Consider the following 17,811-nt stretch of genomic DNA (forward strand, 5'->3'; position numbering starts at 1 on the left):
TGATTCTGGTTCAGAAGGCTTTGCATATAATATAGCAAATATGAGTAGTGATTTTTTAAAAAATTACATGAATATTTTCAAACAATTGTATGATTTGTATCTTATTTACATTTATTTTAATACCTGTGTTTGGAATTATAACGTTGTAGCCATGATCATATTCTGATGAAACCATGTCTCCCCTCCCTGAGACCTCTGCCCCCTAGTGTCTGCCTCTTCCCTTTATAATGCTTTTATATGGTACTGACAACCCTGAAAGACTCCTGTTATTGATCCCCCCAACACAACTGAGTGAACATTCCATAGCCCCTAGTTCTTTCTCTGAAGCAACCCAGTTTTAAGGGACTGAATTTCCGTAACCTTGAGCCTTCTGATACTGGAATAAGGATGATCCACTCAGAGCACCCTCAGATATAGGGATGAGTAGAAGAGGGAGTCAGGTGGAAGGAAGGAGACAAAGCAAGTGACCTATCATGGGGGATAGCTGCTGGAGTGGAAAAGCCAGGACCTTTTGTCTCATAATGTATGGAAGAGTGTGTGCGTGTATGTGATGATCATGATTAAATGGTACATGGTATCAGGGAGAGTTGTCAGCACTGATGCTGATTAAGAATGCTGGAAAACTAATAGTAAGGAAGGAAACTAGAAAAATTGGTCTGAATGTGGAAAAGTAATACTAATTACAATCATTTATGCGAACTGCTTACCATTTATTGCTAATTCCCATCCAACAAAATAACTATTAGGTGTATCATTAAATATGTGTTAGATTAACTTTTTCATCACTTTTATTTGTGATTAGAACAGTAAACTCTGCATGTATGCTCAGGCTTAATAGTTTGTTGCTCATGCAAGCATGGCTGTCAGCTCACAATTAGGAAAAAAAACTATTATGTTAGGGCTGGAGCATGGCAGGCTTTGAATTCCAGGCTAAGCAGTTTATAGTTAATTTAAGAGACAATGGGGAGCCTTTACAGAATAATCAATGGTGGGGGGAGTGAGGGGTGCGGTTTGCGCGTTACACAATCAGCACTGTATTTTAGGAATCACAGATTGGCTGGGCTGGGAGATTGCTTAAAGATTACTCACCCAGTGATGACTAGCCAGGGAGCATGGGCATCCACACTGCGGGTTCTGGATGGATTATGAAGATTTCAGAAAGCCTAAAGGAACCAATGTATTTCTCTATAATAAGGCTGTACAGATCAACCACAGTGTCAGTATTATTTGCTTTGGGCTAGAATTAATCAAATGGGACACTGATCAGAAGAATTGATTGGTGGTTATGAAAGTCATTTTTTTAAAAAATGGCAAAACAAGCTAATTGATCCTTAATAAATAAAAACATTCTTTTTTTTTTTTTTTTTTTGAGACAGATTCTCACTCTGTCGCCCAGGCTGGAGTGCAGTGGCGTGATTTCAGCTCACTGTAACCTCTGCCTCCTGGGTTCAAGCGATTCTCCTGCCTCAGCCTCCTGAGTAGCTGGGACTATAGGCACAGGCCACCACACCTGGCTAATTTTTGTATTTTTAGTAGAGATGGGGTTTCACCATGTTGGCCAGGCTGGTCTCGAACTCCTGACTTCAGGTGATTCCCCCACCTCAGCCTCCCAAACTGCTGGGATTACAGGCGTGAGCCACCACACCTGGCAATAAAAATTTTGACATTAGAAAAATTTTTATAGTCAAGGGCCCTACAGATTGAAAACAAAACAAAAGGGGTCTTGGGTGATGAAAAAGTTGGGAGCCTCAATTGTCATCCAGCCGATCCTTTCATTTATAGATGAAGGAGCAGAGGTTAGAGATGGATGGAACTTGCCTTACAGGAAGATGGAAAAATGGACTGGACAGTGCAAATGGAAGGTAGGTGAGACTAAAGACCAGCAAACCAACTCAGTAGCAAATTGAGATGCCTAGATTAGGGTGGTAGAAGTTAATTTGCAAAGAAAAAGGGCAGATGGGAGAGAGTGAAAAGGCAGTGCCAGATAGGTTCACTGGTTGGATATGAACAGAGAGGAAAAGAAAGAAGTTGAGAATGACTCCAGAATTTCCAGCGTAGTAGACTGAGCCAATGATGGCATTATTAGTGGAAATATAAAAAGCTGGAGGAATAATTGGTTTGGGGGTAGAGGGGAATCATGAATTTGGTTTCATACATATTGACCTTAAGTTGTAGTTTTGTGTATTCAAAAAGAAAATAGCAATAGAAATTAGAAATGCTTGGCTTTGTTTTTTAACCTACTTTATTGAGGTATGATTAATGTACAATAAACTGTACATATTTAATGTATACAACTCAAGGAGTTTGGAGACAGGTATACACCCATGAAAGTATCACCAAAATCTATATTGTGAACCTAGCCATTACCTTCAACTGTTTCCTTCCACCTTCCTTCTCTGTTATTATACTTAATCTATTTTTTTAGAACTGCTTGGCTTTAAATTCTGACTTACGTTGTGCAGGTTTTGGTAAAGAATTTTTCCTTTGACTTTCAGTTTCCACATCTGTAGATTTGGGATATTTGCCTTATGGAATTCATGAGAGGATTAAGTGGGAAGACTTATAAAAAGCACTTAGCACAATATCTAGCAAAGGGCAAGTACTCATTACTCTTCTCTGGAGAAAGAATGGAGATGGAAATGTTTAAGAGGCAGTTAGAAACAAGGGAAAGCTCAGGAGAGCTGTTAAATCCAAAGCTATATTTTTAGGATCTAACTGCAAAACATTGGTGGTACTTACCCAGAGTTTCAGAAAGTTTGAAGTTAGAGGTCTGATAATTTGAGAAGGAATCTAGCAAAGGAGTCTGAAGGAATGGATAGGATGAAATAGGGAGCACACTGTCCAAGAAGCCAAGGGAGGCAGGATAATTTGAAAGTGGAAGAGTATTTCGTGGGGTCAAATGAAATGAAGATATCTAGAAAACAAAGAGGGATATGAGGCCATTGGGAGTTTACTTTAAGAGACAGCAGAGAACTAGGAATGAGTTAGACAAGAGGCTAAGTAGTGAGGGTGGTGCAGCAAAGACAGTAAAGGAAAAGCAACTCTTTCAACATGAATGATGGAATAAGAGGGATACAGGTGACAGTAATTCAAAAAAAGTAGCAGCCATAAGGGAAGGTTATTTTCGGATACTCAAAATCAGAGCATGTTGTATGCTAGGGGAATAATACCAGTGGAGAAGAAGACACTGATAAGGCAGAATAAAGAGGATATATTTGTAAAGCAGGCTCTCTCTCTTTTATTTTATTTTATTATTATTATACTTTAAGTTTTAGGGTACATGTGCACAATGTGCAGGTTAGTTACGTATGTATACATGTGCCATGCTGGTGTGCTGCACCCACTAACTCATCATTTAGCATTAGGTATATCTCCTAAATCTATCCCTCCCCCCTCCCCCCACCCCACAACAGTCCCCAGAGTGTGACGTTCCCCTTCCTGTGTCCATGTGTTCTCATTATTCAATTCCCACCTATGAGTGAGAATATGCGGTGCTTGGTTTTTTGTTCTTGCGATAGTTTACTGAGAATGATGATTTCCAATTTCATCTATGTCCCTACAAAGGACATGAACTCATCATTTTTTATGGCTGCATAGTATTCCATGGTGTATATATGCCACATTTTCTTAATCCAGTCTATCATTATTGGACATTTCGGTTGGTTCCAAGTCTTTGCTATTGTGAATAGTGCCGCAATAAACATACGTGTGCATGTGTCTTTATAGCAGCATGATTTGTAGTCCTTTGGGTATATACCTATAAGCAGGCTCTCTTAAACTATGCAGAGGTAGTCCTAGGTTGTAGCCACATTAAAGGTGTCCCTAGTGGAGGATCTGACATCTAATCCAGGAGAAGTGATGTGAGGTCAAATCAGAAGCAAGCAATCCCACTGAAGCTGTTCTATGACAAAGTGGAATTTATACAAGGGAGGCAAGATTAATTCAATATTCAAAAATCAATCTATGTTATCCACCATATCAAGTTAAGAAAAAAAATCACATGATAATATAAATCAATGATTGTTCTCATTTTTTAAAACATCATATTAGAAGATTTAGCCAGCAGAATAAAGCAAGAAAATAAAATAAAAGGCATACAGACTGGAAAAAAGAAAATTAAACTTCTACTTTCAAATGATGTGGTTGTATGTATAGAAAATCTCAAGAAATCTAGAAAAGAATTCCCAGAACTAATAAATAACTTCAACAAGGTAACAGTATACGAGTGTACGAGATCAACATGCAAAAATCAATTACATTTCTAAATGCTAACAACTAACATGTGGAAATCAAAATCTAAAAACATAATTTACAATCATGCCAAAGAAAATCTGTATAAATGCTTAAGAAAACACATGCAGGATCTATATACTGAACATTACAAAGTGCTGATAAGAGATATCAAAAAAATCTAAAAATGTAAGAACATACTATATTTATGGATTGAAAGTGTCAGCATTATAAAGATGTTAATTTCCCCCAGATTCATCTAAAGGTTTAGTGAAATTTCTATCAAAATTCCAGCATAATTTCATTTTAGACATAGACCTACTTATTCTAAAATGTAAATGGAAAGTCACAGTCCATATAACAGCTATAACAATCTTGTGAAAAAAGATTAAAGTAAAAGAAACCATTCTATCTGATATTAAGGCTCACTATATAGATAGAGGAATCATGACAGTGTCATGATTGGCAGAACGGCAGGCATATGAATTAATGGAAGGAAATAGATAACCCAGAAATGGACCCACACAAATATATCCAGTTCAATAGAGGAAAGATAGCCTTTTCAATAAATGGTCCTGAAACAATGTGATATCCACAGACAAAAAGAAAAAAGAAACTTTGACTTGAACCTCACACATTGCACAAACATTAATTCAAAATGGATCATAGATTTACTTTTCATTTTTTCTTAGAGACAGGGTCTTGCAGCCTCAAACTTCTGGGCTCAAGAAATCCTCCTGCCTTAGCCTCCTTAATAGTTGGGACTACAGGCATGTGCCACCATGCCTGGCTACTTTTTTTTCTTTTTAACTTTTTGTGTAAATAGAGTCTCATTGTGTTGACCAGGCTGGTCTTAAACTTCTGGCCTCAAGCGATCCTCCCATCTTGGCCTCCCAAGATGTTGGTATTACAGACATGAGCCACCATGTCTAGCTTTAAGTACCTATTTTTATTTAATGTTTATAACAATGCTGGATCATAGATTTAAATGTAGAAGGTAAAACAAAGACAATTTTAGAAGAAAACATGGGAGAAAAATCTTTGGGAACAAGACTTAGTGAGGAATTTTTAGTTTTGAAACTAAAAGCACAATCTGTAAGAGGAAAAAGTGATAAATTGGTCTTCATCAAAATGTAAAGATTTTTGCTGTATGAAATATCCTGTTACGAAAATTAAAAAGACAAACTACGATCTTGGAGAAAATATCTGCAATCCGCATACTTGACAAAGGACTAGTATCTAGAATATATGAAGAACTCTCAATTCGGCTGGGTGTGGTGGCTCACAAGGTCAGACATTCAAGACCAGCCTGGCCAAGATGGTGAAATCCCGTCTCTACTAAAAATACAAAAATTAGCCGGGCGTGGTAGCAGGCACCTGTAATCCCAGCTACTTGGGAGTCTGAGGCAGATAATTGCTTGAACCCAGGAGGCAGAGGTTGCAGTGAGCAGAAATCATGCCACTGTACTCCAGCCTGGGTGACAGAGTGAGACTCTGTCTCAAAACCACCACCACTACCACCACCACCACAACAACTCTCAAATCTCAATCCTAAAAATACAAACAATTCAATCACATGATGACCAAGGACATTTCACCAAGAAGGATATGCAGATGGTGGTAAAATAGCAATGAAAACATCTCTAGCCATTAGGGAAATGCAAATTAAAACCACATGTAATGCAGTATTACTGCACATCTGTCAGAATTAGAAAAACAAAAAGTAGTGACACCACTAAACACTGAGGAGGATATGGAGAACCTAGCTCCCTTATTTATTGCTGGTGGGAATATTAAATGGTACAACATCTCTTTGAAACAGTTTGGCAGTTTCTTAGAGAAGAAACACCATGTGATCCACAGTCACACTCTTGAGGATTTATTCTAAAGAAATGAAAAATGTATGTCCACACAAAAACCTGTACACCAAAGTTTATAGAAGCTTTATTCATTATAGCCCTAAATTGGAAAAATAAAAACACAAATGTCCTTCACTGGGTAAATGCTTAAACAAACTGTGGTACATCCATACCATGGAATACTACTCAGCAATAAGAAGAAATGCACTATTGATGCATACCACATCTTGGACGAATCTCCAGAGACTTACACTAAGTGAATAAGGCCAATCCCAAGAGGAAAAGTGCATTTGTATGATGTTCTTGGAATGGCAAAATTTTAGAAATGAACAGATTAGTCATTCCAGTGCCTAGGAATGGGGAGATGGGCAGAGAAGGAGACAGATGTAGTTGTAAAAGGGTAACACAAGGGATATTTTTGGTAATAGAACTGTCCGTTATTTTGATCACGGTGGTGGATACATCAACCTGTACATGTGATAAAATTGTATACAACTAAATACCCTCATACCCACACAAATGAATACAAGTCAAACTGGAGAAATCTAAATAAAATCGGTAGATTGTATCAATGTCAATATCATAGTTGGGGCATCATACTACAGTTTTATAAGATGCTATCATTGGAAAAAACTGGGCAATAGATAAACTAGATGTTACTGTAACAAATGCATATTAATCTATAATTATTTTAAGAAAATTTTCAGTTTAGAAACAAGTGATTAACTGCCATAAGTGGTAGAAATAAAAATGGCATGAGTGAAAATAGGGATACTAGGCAAAAGTCTATCACAGTCCTCCAGATGATAGATGATGGCGGCCTTAATTAAGGTGCTGGCAGTAGACATGGAGAAAAGCAGATGAATTCAAGTTATTTAGAAACCAGTATGTATAGCACTTGTCAGCGAATGAGGTAAGGACTGGGTGACAAGCACTGAAGTCATCTCTAAGGCTTTGATGCTGGATACCTTAGAGAATAGCAATACAACTGGGATTAAAATTCATTTTATACAAGATCTACATGAGGAAAGCTATAAAACTTTGATGAAATAAAAAGATTCTAAATGAATGGAGAAATAGTCCATGTACATGGATAGAAAGATTCAATATTGTCAAGATGTCAGTCTTTTCCATCTTAATCTGTAAATTAAATGCAATCTCAATCAAGATTTCATCAAGTTATTTTATGGACATTTTGTTGGAGGACTAAAACTTCCTGATGTCAAGACTTACCATAAAGCTATAGTAATCAATACAACGAGTTATTGGTCAAAGAATAGACAAATAGATCAGTGGAACAGAATAGAGAGCCCAGAAATAGACCCACATGAATATAGTCAACTGATTTTTGATCAGGGAGCAAAAGCAATTCAATGGAGAAAAGATAGTCCTTTCAACAAGTGGCGCTAGAACAACTGGACACCCTCATGCAAAAGGGTGGGCCTGGTGGCTCACGCCTGTAATCCTAGCATTATGGGAGGCCGAGGCGAGTGGATTACTTGCGGCCAGGAGTTCGAGACAAGCCGGGTCAACATGACGAAACCCTACGTCTACTAAAAATACAAAAATTAGCTGGACGTGGTGGCATAAGCCTGTAATCCCAGCTACTCGGGAGGCTGAAGCATGAGAATGGCTTGAACCCAGGAGGCAGAGTTACAGTGAGCCAAGATTGTGCCACTGCACTCCAGCCTGGGTGCCTGGGTGACAGAGTGAGACTCTGTCTCAAAAACAAAAATCAAAAAAAATTATAATCTAGACATAGACATTACACATTACATTCTTCATAAAAATTAACTCAAAGTGCATCATAGACCTAAAGGTAAAATGTAAAACTATTAAGCTCCTAGAAGATAATATAGGATAAAGTATAGGTGACCTTGGGTTTGGTGATGACTTTTTAGATACAACGCCATAAGCATGATACATGAAAGAAAAAATTGGTAAGTTGGACACTGCTAAGACAACTTCTACTTTGTGAAAAATATTGTTAAGAAAATAAAAAAGCCACAGACTGGCAGAAAATATTTTTAAAACATATCTGATAAAGAACTGGTATCCAAAATACACAAAGAACCCTTAAATCTCAACAATTAGATGACTCAATTTAAAAATTATAAAGCAAGTGAAAAGATGATGAACATCATTTGTCATTAGGGAATTGCAAATTAGAACAATGGGATACCACTATACACATACTAGAATGGCTAAACTCCAAAACACTGACAACACCTACTACTGACAAGGATGTGTTACAACAACAACTCCCATTCAATGCTAGTAGAAATGCAAAAACTCATTTAAACTTTTATGGACACTTAAAAGTTTCCCTCCAATAAGGTGGTACCAATTTATAGTTTCTGAAAATACTTGTGCATACTTGTTGAGAGTTATACATAGTACTTAAATACCTGGAATCTACAGCTAGGTTGCCTACTTTCAAATCGTTGCTCTGCAACTTAGTAGCTGTGTAGTTTTATGCAAGTTATCTAACTTCTCTGTGCCTCAGTTGAATCATCTGTAAAACAGAGATCATAACATTTAGTGTACCTCATGGGATCATTGTGAGGATTAAATGAGTTAATATTTGTAATGTTTTAAGAATTATACCTGGAACAGTGTAAGTGCTATGTATTAGATGTTATTACTGTTCCTCATATGCTGCCTAAGAGTCTTTAATTTATATTATGTATTATATATATATATATTATATATGTATAAATATATATACTTTTTGTATATGTATAAATATAAATTTTAATCTGAGGGTTAAAAATATTGTCTCTTAGAAGTGTCCATTTGCATTTCCCTTTTATGTATTAAGGTTTAGATATATAGGGTTTCATATATTTGAAAGCTATTTATAATTTCTGTTCTGTCTTTTGTGATTTTTCTATTGAGTTGTTGGTATTTTATTGATTTGTAGGAGTTGTTTATATATTAAGAAAATCTCCCTGTATCTGTGGGGTTTATTATTTCATTAGATATTTATTCAGTGCTTATTAAGTATCAAGTACTATACTTGGTTCTAGAGAGCAGCACTGAACAAAACAAAGCCCCGGCTCTCATGAATCTTACATGTAATGGAGAGAGACAGACAATAAGAAAAGAACTAATACGCTGGGTGATGATAAGTGGGATAAAATAATAAAGCATATACAAGGAATAGGGAGTGCTTGGTATGAAGGAGTTGCTATTTTATATATAGTGGTCAGGAAAGGCCTTCCTAATAAGGTGACATTCGAATAGATACCTGAAGGCAATGAAGTAAGCCATGTGGACACTTATTCATTTCAAAAGTATTTATTAAGCCTGTGCCAGGCACAATTCTAGACTCTTGTGTTGCAGTAGTAAATAAGACAAACCACAAAAAGTTTTACCCCGTGGATCACACACTCTGGGGTGGGGGGAAACAGAAATAAATAATAAATGTAATGAATTAATTATATACTATTTTAGTAGTTGATCAATGCTATGGGTAAAAGAAACAGTAAAGTAAGTTCAGGCGGATCAAGAGTGCCAGATCCAGAGTTTGTTACATTAAATAGATGACACCAAGGTGGTAATGGGGTGCCAGATCATGAAGGGCCTCGTGGGCCATTGTACGGATTTGGGCTTTGACTCTGAATTAGATAGGAGTCACTGGAGGATTTTAAACAGAAGAGTGATGTGACATAACCTTCATTTTTAGAGGATCAGTCAGACTGCTATATTGATAACAAACTTGAAGGAGGAAGGACAGAAGCTGGAAGAGCCATAAAAAGCTCTTGCATTCATCCAGGCAAGAGATATGATGGTGGCTTGCACCAGGGTGTTAGCAATGGTGGGGGTGAAAGTGATTGAACTCTGGAGATATTTTGGAGGTAGATGTATAAAGGTTTCCTGAAATATTAAATGTAGGGTGTGAGAAGGGAGGAGATAAGAATGACTCCAAGATTTTTGTACCTAACATTGGAACGATGGAGTTGTCATCAACTGAGATGGGAAAGTTTGTGATTAGAACAGTTTGGGGACTGACCACAGATAGATGCAACTTGAAGCCATGAGACTAGACAAAATCACCAAGAAAGTAGTGAATGTAGATACTGGATTGGGAGATGAGGAAGAGGAAGCAAGGGAGATGAAGAAGGAGCACTCAATGAGATAAAGATAGAACTTGCCTATATACATCTGCGAAAAGAGTATTCCAGTGAAAGGAAACAGAAAGTGTGAAGACCCGGAGGCAGGTCTCTGCTTGGTATTAGTATTTGTCTTGTACTGTTTTATTTCTATGTAGGAAATTTTATTTTTATGTAGCCATATTTATATTTTTTCTTTTAATGGCTTTTGGGTTTATGTCAGGCCTTAAAAAGGCTTTGTAAAGTTATCTCACTACCATTTAAAATACAGTGTATAATCCCAGCACTTTGGGAGCCCAACACGAGCAGATTGCTTCAGCTCACGAGTCTGAGACCAGCCTGGGCAACATGGTGAAACCCTGTCTCTACAGAAAATACAAAAATTAGCCAGGTGTGGTGGTAGGCACCTGTGGTCCCAGCTACTTGAGAGGCTGAGGAGGGAAGGATCACTACTTGAGCCAGGGAAGTGGAAGTCGAAGTGAGCTGAGATCCTGCCACTGCACTCCAGCCTGGGTGACAGAGCAAGACCCTGTCTCAAAAAAATAAATAAATACATACATAAAAATAAATAAATGAAATAAAGTGTTTTCCTTACTAACTTAATACCAAATTTATTTTATGCTAAATTCTCATATATATTTGGATTGTTTGTTCTTCATTGATTTGTCTATCTAATCACGTGCCTATTCCAAACTGCTCTAGTTACTGAAGCTTTGTTCCTGAAGCTTTATAATATGCTTTAATATAAGGTAAATCTATCTCCTCTCTTTACTTTTTTTTTTTTTTTTTTTTTTGTAGAGATGGGGTTTTGCTGTGTTGTCCAGGCTGGTCTTGAACTGGCCTGAAGCAATCTGCCCGCCTCAGCCTCCCAAAGTGTTGGGATTACAGGTGTGACACATGGTGCCCGGCCGCCCTCTCATTACTCTTGTCCTTCAGAATTCGTCTATTACTGCATGTGTATTTTTTCATGAGAACCTTAGAATCACTTGTCCCTGCCTCCAAATCCTGTTTGTGTTTTTATTGGGGCCATATTAAATATAGTGATTAATTTAGGGACAGTTGATATCTTTATAATATTGAGTTTTCTGAGCCAGGAATAAAGTACAACTATCCATTTTAAGAATTCCTTTATGTACTTTAGTAGCATTTATAATTTTTTTATTTACATATTGTATTTTGCTGGATAGTATTATTCATAGGTCATATAGCATTTTTTCTTTTATAAATGAGGTCTATCTTCCCTTTATCCTTTCTAAGTGGTTGTTAACATATAGAAATGTTCTTTATATTTTATTTTGGTATCCATTTACTCTACTGTATCATCTTATTGTTTATAATTTTTTCCATTAATATTCTTGAACTTTCTAGGTGTACAACAAAAGTTTCTGAAAGTAATAATTTTGCATCTTCTTTTTCAGTTTTTTAGACAGTTTTATTCACATATGTTTTATATACCATAAAGTTCAACTGTTTAAAGTAGACAATGTTTTTTGGCATATTTACCCAGTTGTACAAGGATCAACATAATCTGATTATAAAATATTATCATGATGCCCCCAAAGAAACCTTGTACTCATTAGCAGTAAATCCTCATCCTCTCACTCTCTCCCAGCTTTGGGAAACCACTAACCTGCTTTCTGTCTCTATAGATGTGCTTATTCTGGATATAGCATATAAATGAGATGATATAATATGTAGTTTTGTGACTGACATCTTTCACTTAGCATGTTTTCAAGGCTAATTCATGCTATAGTATCTATCAATACTTTATTCTTTTTTACTGTGGTAAAATATGCATAATATAAAATATACCATTTTCACCATTTTTGAGTGTACAGTTCAGTGGCATGAAACACATTACACTGTTGTGCAAACATCACCACCATCTAGTTCCAGAATTTTTACATCTAAATGAAAGCTCTGTACCCATTAAACAATAACTCCCCATTCCCTTCTCCCGGAGTCCCTGGTAAAAACTATTCTACTGTCTGTCTCTATGAATTTGACTAGTCTAATTACCTCATGTAAGTGAAATCATACATTGTTTATCTTTTTGTGTTTGGCTTATTTGGCTGAATAATATTCTAGCGTATGGATATATCACATTTTGTTCATCCATTTATCATCTGCCTATTCATTCATCAGTTTATCCATTCATCACTTTCCACCTTTTGACTGTTATAAACAATGTTGCTGTGAACATTAGTATACACGTTTTTGCAGGGACATATGCTTTTATTTCTCTTGGGCATATACCTAGGAGTAGAATTGCTGAGTTACATATTAACTACATGTTTAAATATTTGAGGAGATGCGAAACTCTTTCCAAAGAAGCTGTAACATTTTTCATTCCCACCTGCAATAAAGGAGAGTTCCAATTTCTCTCATCCATGCCTATTAACTGTTTTACTTTCTTTTTTTTTTAACAGTCACTCTATTGGATGTGAAGTAGTATTCTCCTTGTGGTTTTTATTTGCATTTCCCTATTACTAATGATGTTTAGCACCTTTTCGTGTGTTTATTGCCATTTGCATATCTCTGGATAAATGTACATTCAAATGATTTTCCCTTAAAAATAATTGGGTTGTCTTTTCATTATTGGGTTGTAAGAGTTCTTTATAGATTCTGGATACAGGTCCCTTGTTAGATACACGATTTGCAAATGCTTTCCCTAATATTGTGGGTTGACTTTTCACTTTCTTGATGGTGTCATTTGAATCACAATAGTTTTAATTTTGATGACATCTAATTTACCTATTTTTTTCCTATGGTTGTTTGAACATTTGGTGACATGTCTAAAGAAACCATTACATAACTTAAGATCATAGAGATTTATGCCTCTGTTTTTTTCTAAACGTTTTATAGTTTTAGCATTACATTTAAAAAGTATTTTTTGAGACAGGGCCTTACTCTCTTGCCCAGGCTGGGATGCAGTGGCACAATCATAGCTCACTGTACCCTCAAACTCCTGGGTTCAAGCAAGTCACCCACCTCACCCTTTTGAGCAGTTAGGACTACAGATGCATGCCACCATGCCCAGCTTGCACTTACCTTTAATTCTATGATCCATTTTGAGTTAATTGTTATATATGGTATAAGGAAGGGGTCCAATTTCATTACTTTGACTGTGGATATCTAGTTGTCTAGGCATCATTTGTTGAAAACATTTTTCCCATTGAATTACCTTGATACCCTTGTTGAAAATCAATTGAGCATAAATGTGAGGGTTTATTTCTGGACTCACAATTCTATTGTATTGATCTACATGTCTATCCTTATGCCAGTACCATGCTTTCTTGATTAATATAGCTTTGTAGCAAGTTTTGAAATCTGGAAGTGTGAGTCTACCAACTTTGTTATTTTTCAATATTATTTTGGCTCTTCTGGGTCCCTTATTCTGCCAAATGAGTTTTAGGATTAGCTTTTTCTATTTCTGCAAAAAATCCACCTGATTTTTAAGGGGATTATGTTTGATTTGTAGATCAATTTCAGCAGTTTTGTCATATTAGCAATATTTGTTTTCCCAATCCATGAAAATGAGATGTCTTTCCATTTACTTAAGTCTTCTTCAATTTATCTTAACAGCGTTTTGTAGATTTTAGTGTACAAATTATACACCTCCTTGGTTAAATGTATTCATAAGTAGTTTATTTTTGATGCTATTATAAATTGAATGGGGTTTTTAATTATTTTTAAGAAAAATTATAGTTCGCTGGGTGTGGTGGCTCATGCCTGTAATCCCAGCACTTTGGGAGGCCAAGGCACGTGGATCACTTGAGGTCAGGGGTTTGAAACCAGCCAGGCCAACATGGTGAAACCCCACCTCTACTAAGAATACAAAAATTAGCCAGGCATGGTGGTAGATGCCTGTAATCCCAGCCACTCAGGAGGCTGAGGCAGGGGAATTGCTTGAATCCAGGAGGCGGAGGTTGCAGTGAGCTGAGATCGCACCACTGCACTCCAGCCTGGGCAACAGAGCAAGACACCGTCTCAAAAAAAAAAAAATATATAGTTGCCAAATAAAACTTTTATATATTTACAGTGTAAAAACATGATGTTTTGGTATATGAATGCATGGTGAAATGGTTATATCAAGCTAATTGACATATCTCTCACCTCACATGCTTATTTTTTGTTGTGAGAACATTTAAGATCACTTTTTTGTAATTTTCAAATATACAATACATTATTATTAACTATAGTCACTATGCTGTACAGTAGATCTCCAGAACTTATTTATCCTGTTTAACTGAAATTTTGTACTCTTTGACCAACATCTTCCCATTCCCAAGCCCCGAACTGCAGTCCTTGGAAACCACCATTCTACTCTCTGCTTCTATGAGTTCAACTTATTTAGACTCCATGTATAAGTGAAATCATGGAGTATTTGTCTTTCTGTGCCTGGCTTACTTCATTTAGCATAATTTTCTCCAGGTTCATCCATGCTGTCACAAATAACAGGATTTCCTTGTTCTTAACACTGAATAGTATTCCATTGTGTGTGTGTGTGTGTGTGTGTGTGTGTGTGTGTGTGTGTGTGTGTGTATAAAACATTTTCCTTCTCCGTTTATCTATTAATGATTTAGGTTGATTTTATATCTTGGCTATTGTGAATAATGTCACAATAAACACAGTAGCACAGACATTTCTTTGACATACTGATTTTAATGCCTTTGGATATATACCCAGAAGTGGAATTCCTGGATCATAGGGTAATTCTATTTTTTACTTTTTGAGGGACTTCCATACTGTTTTCCATAAGGGCTGTACTAATTTACATTCCTTTCCACAGAGTGCAAGCATTCCCTTTTTTCTACATCCCCAACAGCACTTGTTATTTTTGCCTTTTTGATAATAGCCACTGTGATGTTGTGATTTTACCAGTTGAATTTTTTTAAAATTTCCTTTTTGGGTTACTCATTATAGCGTATAGAAGTAGTTTTTTGTGTGTTGATCTTGTATCCTGAAACTTTGCTGAATTTTCTTATTAACCCTAATAGGGATTTTTTTTCTGGTAGATTCTTTAGGATGTTCTATATATAACATCATGTCATTGGGAAAAGAGAGTTTTACTTTTTCTTTTCCTATTTGGATGCCTTTAATTTATTCATCAGTTTTTTGTTTTGTTTTGTTTTGTTTGGCTAGAGCTTCTAGAAAAATGTTGAATAAAAGTGGTGAGAGTGAAATAAAGGGATGGAGGAAATTTTACCAAGCAAATGGGAAGAAAAAAAAAAAAAGCAGGGATTGCAATCGTAGTCTCTGACAAAACAGACTTTAAACCAACAAAGATCAAAAAAGACAAAGAAGGGCATTACATAATGGTAAAGGGAACAATTCAACAAGAAGAGCTAACTATTCTAAATATATATTCACCCAATACACGAGCACCCAGATTCGTAAAACAAGTTCTTAGAGACCTACAAACAGACTTAGACTCCCATACAATAATAGTGAGAGACTTTCACACCCCACTGTCAGTATTAGACAGATCAATGAGACAGAAAATTAACAAGGATATTCAGGACTTGAACTCAGCTCTGGATCAAGTGGACCTAGTAGACATCTACAGAACTCTCTACTCCAAATCAACAGAATCTACATTCTTCTCAGTGCCGCATGGCACTTATTCTAAAATTGACCACATAATTGGAAGTAAAACACTCCTCAGCAAATGCAAAAGAACGGAAATCATAACAGTCTCTCAGACCACAGTGGAATCAAATTAGAACTCAGGATTAAGAAACTCACTCAAAACCACACAATTCCATGGAAATTGAACAACCTCCTCCTGCATGACTCCTAGGTAAATAATGAAATTTAGGCAGAAATCTAGAAGTTCTTTGAAACCAACGAGAACAAAGAGACAATGTACCATAATCTCTGGGACATAGCTAAAGCAGTGTTAAGAGGGAAATTTATGACACTAAATGCCCACATCAGAGGCTTGAAAGATCTCAAATTGACACCCTAAGATCACAATTAAAAGAGCTAGAGAGGCAAGAACAAACTAATCCAAAAACTAGCAGAAGACAAGAAATAACGAAGATCAGAGAAGAACTGAAGGAGATAGAGACATGAAAAACCCTCCAAAAAAAATCAGTGAATTCAGGAGCTGATTTTTTGAAAAAATTAACAAAATAGATAGGCCACTAGCTAGACAAATAAAGAAGAAAAGATAGAAGAATCAAATAGACACAATAAAAAATGATAAAAGGGATATCACCACTGACGCCACAGAAATACAAATTTCCATCAGAGAATACTATAAACACCTCTATGCAAATAAACTAGAAAATCTAGAAGAAATGGATAAACTGCTGGACACATACACCCTCCCAAGACTAAATGAGGAAGAAATTGCATTCCTGAATAGACCAATATCAAATTTTGAAACTGAGGCAGTAATTAGTAGCCTATCAAGCAAAAAAAGCCCAGGATCAGATGGACTCACCGCTGAATTCTACCAGAAATACAAAGAGGAGCTGGTACCATTCCTTTTGAAACAATTCCAAATAATTGAAACGCAAGGATTCCTCCCTAACTCATTTTATGAAGCCAGCATCATCCTGATACTAAAACTGAGAAGAGGCACAACAAAAAAAGAAAAGTTCAGGCTAATATCCCTGATGAACATGGATGTGAAAATCCTCAATAAAATACTGGCAAACTGAATCAATCAGCACATCAAAAACTTATCCACCATGATCAAGTCAGCTTCATCCCTAGGATGCAAGGCTGGTTCAACATATGCAAATCAGTAAATGGAATCAGAACCAAAGACAAAACATAAACAGAACCAAAGACAAAAACCACATGATTATCTCAATAGGTGCAGAAAAGACAAGACCTTTGATAAAATTAAACATCCCTTCATGTTAAAAATTCTCAATAAACTAGATATTGATGGAACATATCTCAAAATCATAAGGGCTATTTATGACAAACCCACAGTCGATATCATATCGAATGGGCAAAAGCTGGAAGCATTCCCTTTGAAATCCGGTACAAGAAAAGGATGTCCTCTCTCACCACTCCTATTCAACATAGTATTGGAAGTTCTAGCCAGGGCAATCAGGTAAGAGAAAGAAATAAAGGGTATTCAAATAGGAAGAGAGGAAGTCAAATTGTCTCTGTTAGGGATGACATGATTGTATATTTAGAAAACCCCATCATCTCTGCCCCAAAACTCCTTAAACTGATAAGCAACTTCAGCAAAGTCTCAGGATACAAAATCAATGTGCAAAAATCACAAGCATTCCTTTACACCAACAATAGACAAGCAGAGAGCCAAATCATGAATGAACTCCCATTCACAATTGTTACAAAGAGAATAAAGTACCTAGGAATACAGCTAACAAGGGATGTGAAGGACTTCTTCAAGGACAGCTACAAACCACTGCTAAAGGAAATAAAAGAAGACACAAACAAATGGAAGAATATTCCCTGCTCATGGATAAGAAGAATCAATATCATGAAAATGGCCATACTGCCCAAAGTAATTTATGGATTCAGTGCTACTCCCATCAAACTACCATTGACATTCTTCACAGAATTAGAAAAAAACTATTTTAAATTTTATATAGAATCAAAGAAGATTCCATATAGCC

The sequence above is a fragment of the Homo sapiens genome, chromosome X (assembly GCF_000001405.40).
Source record: "Homo sapiens chromosome X, GRCh38.p14 Primary Assembly".
Taxonomy (NCBI): Eukaryota; Metazoa; Chordata; class Mammalia; order Primates; family Hominidae; genus Homo; species Homo sapiens.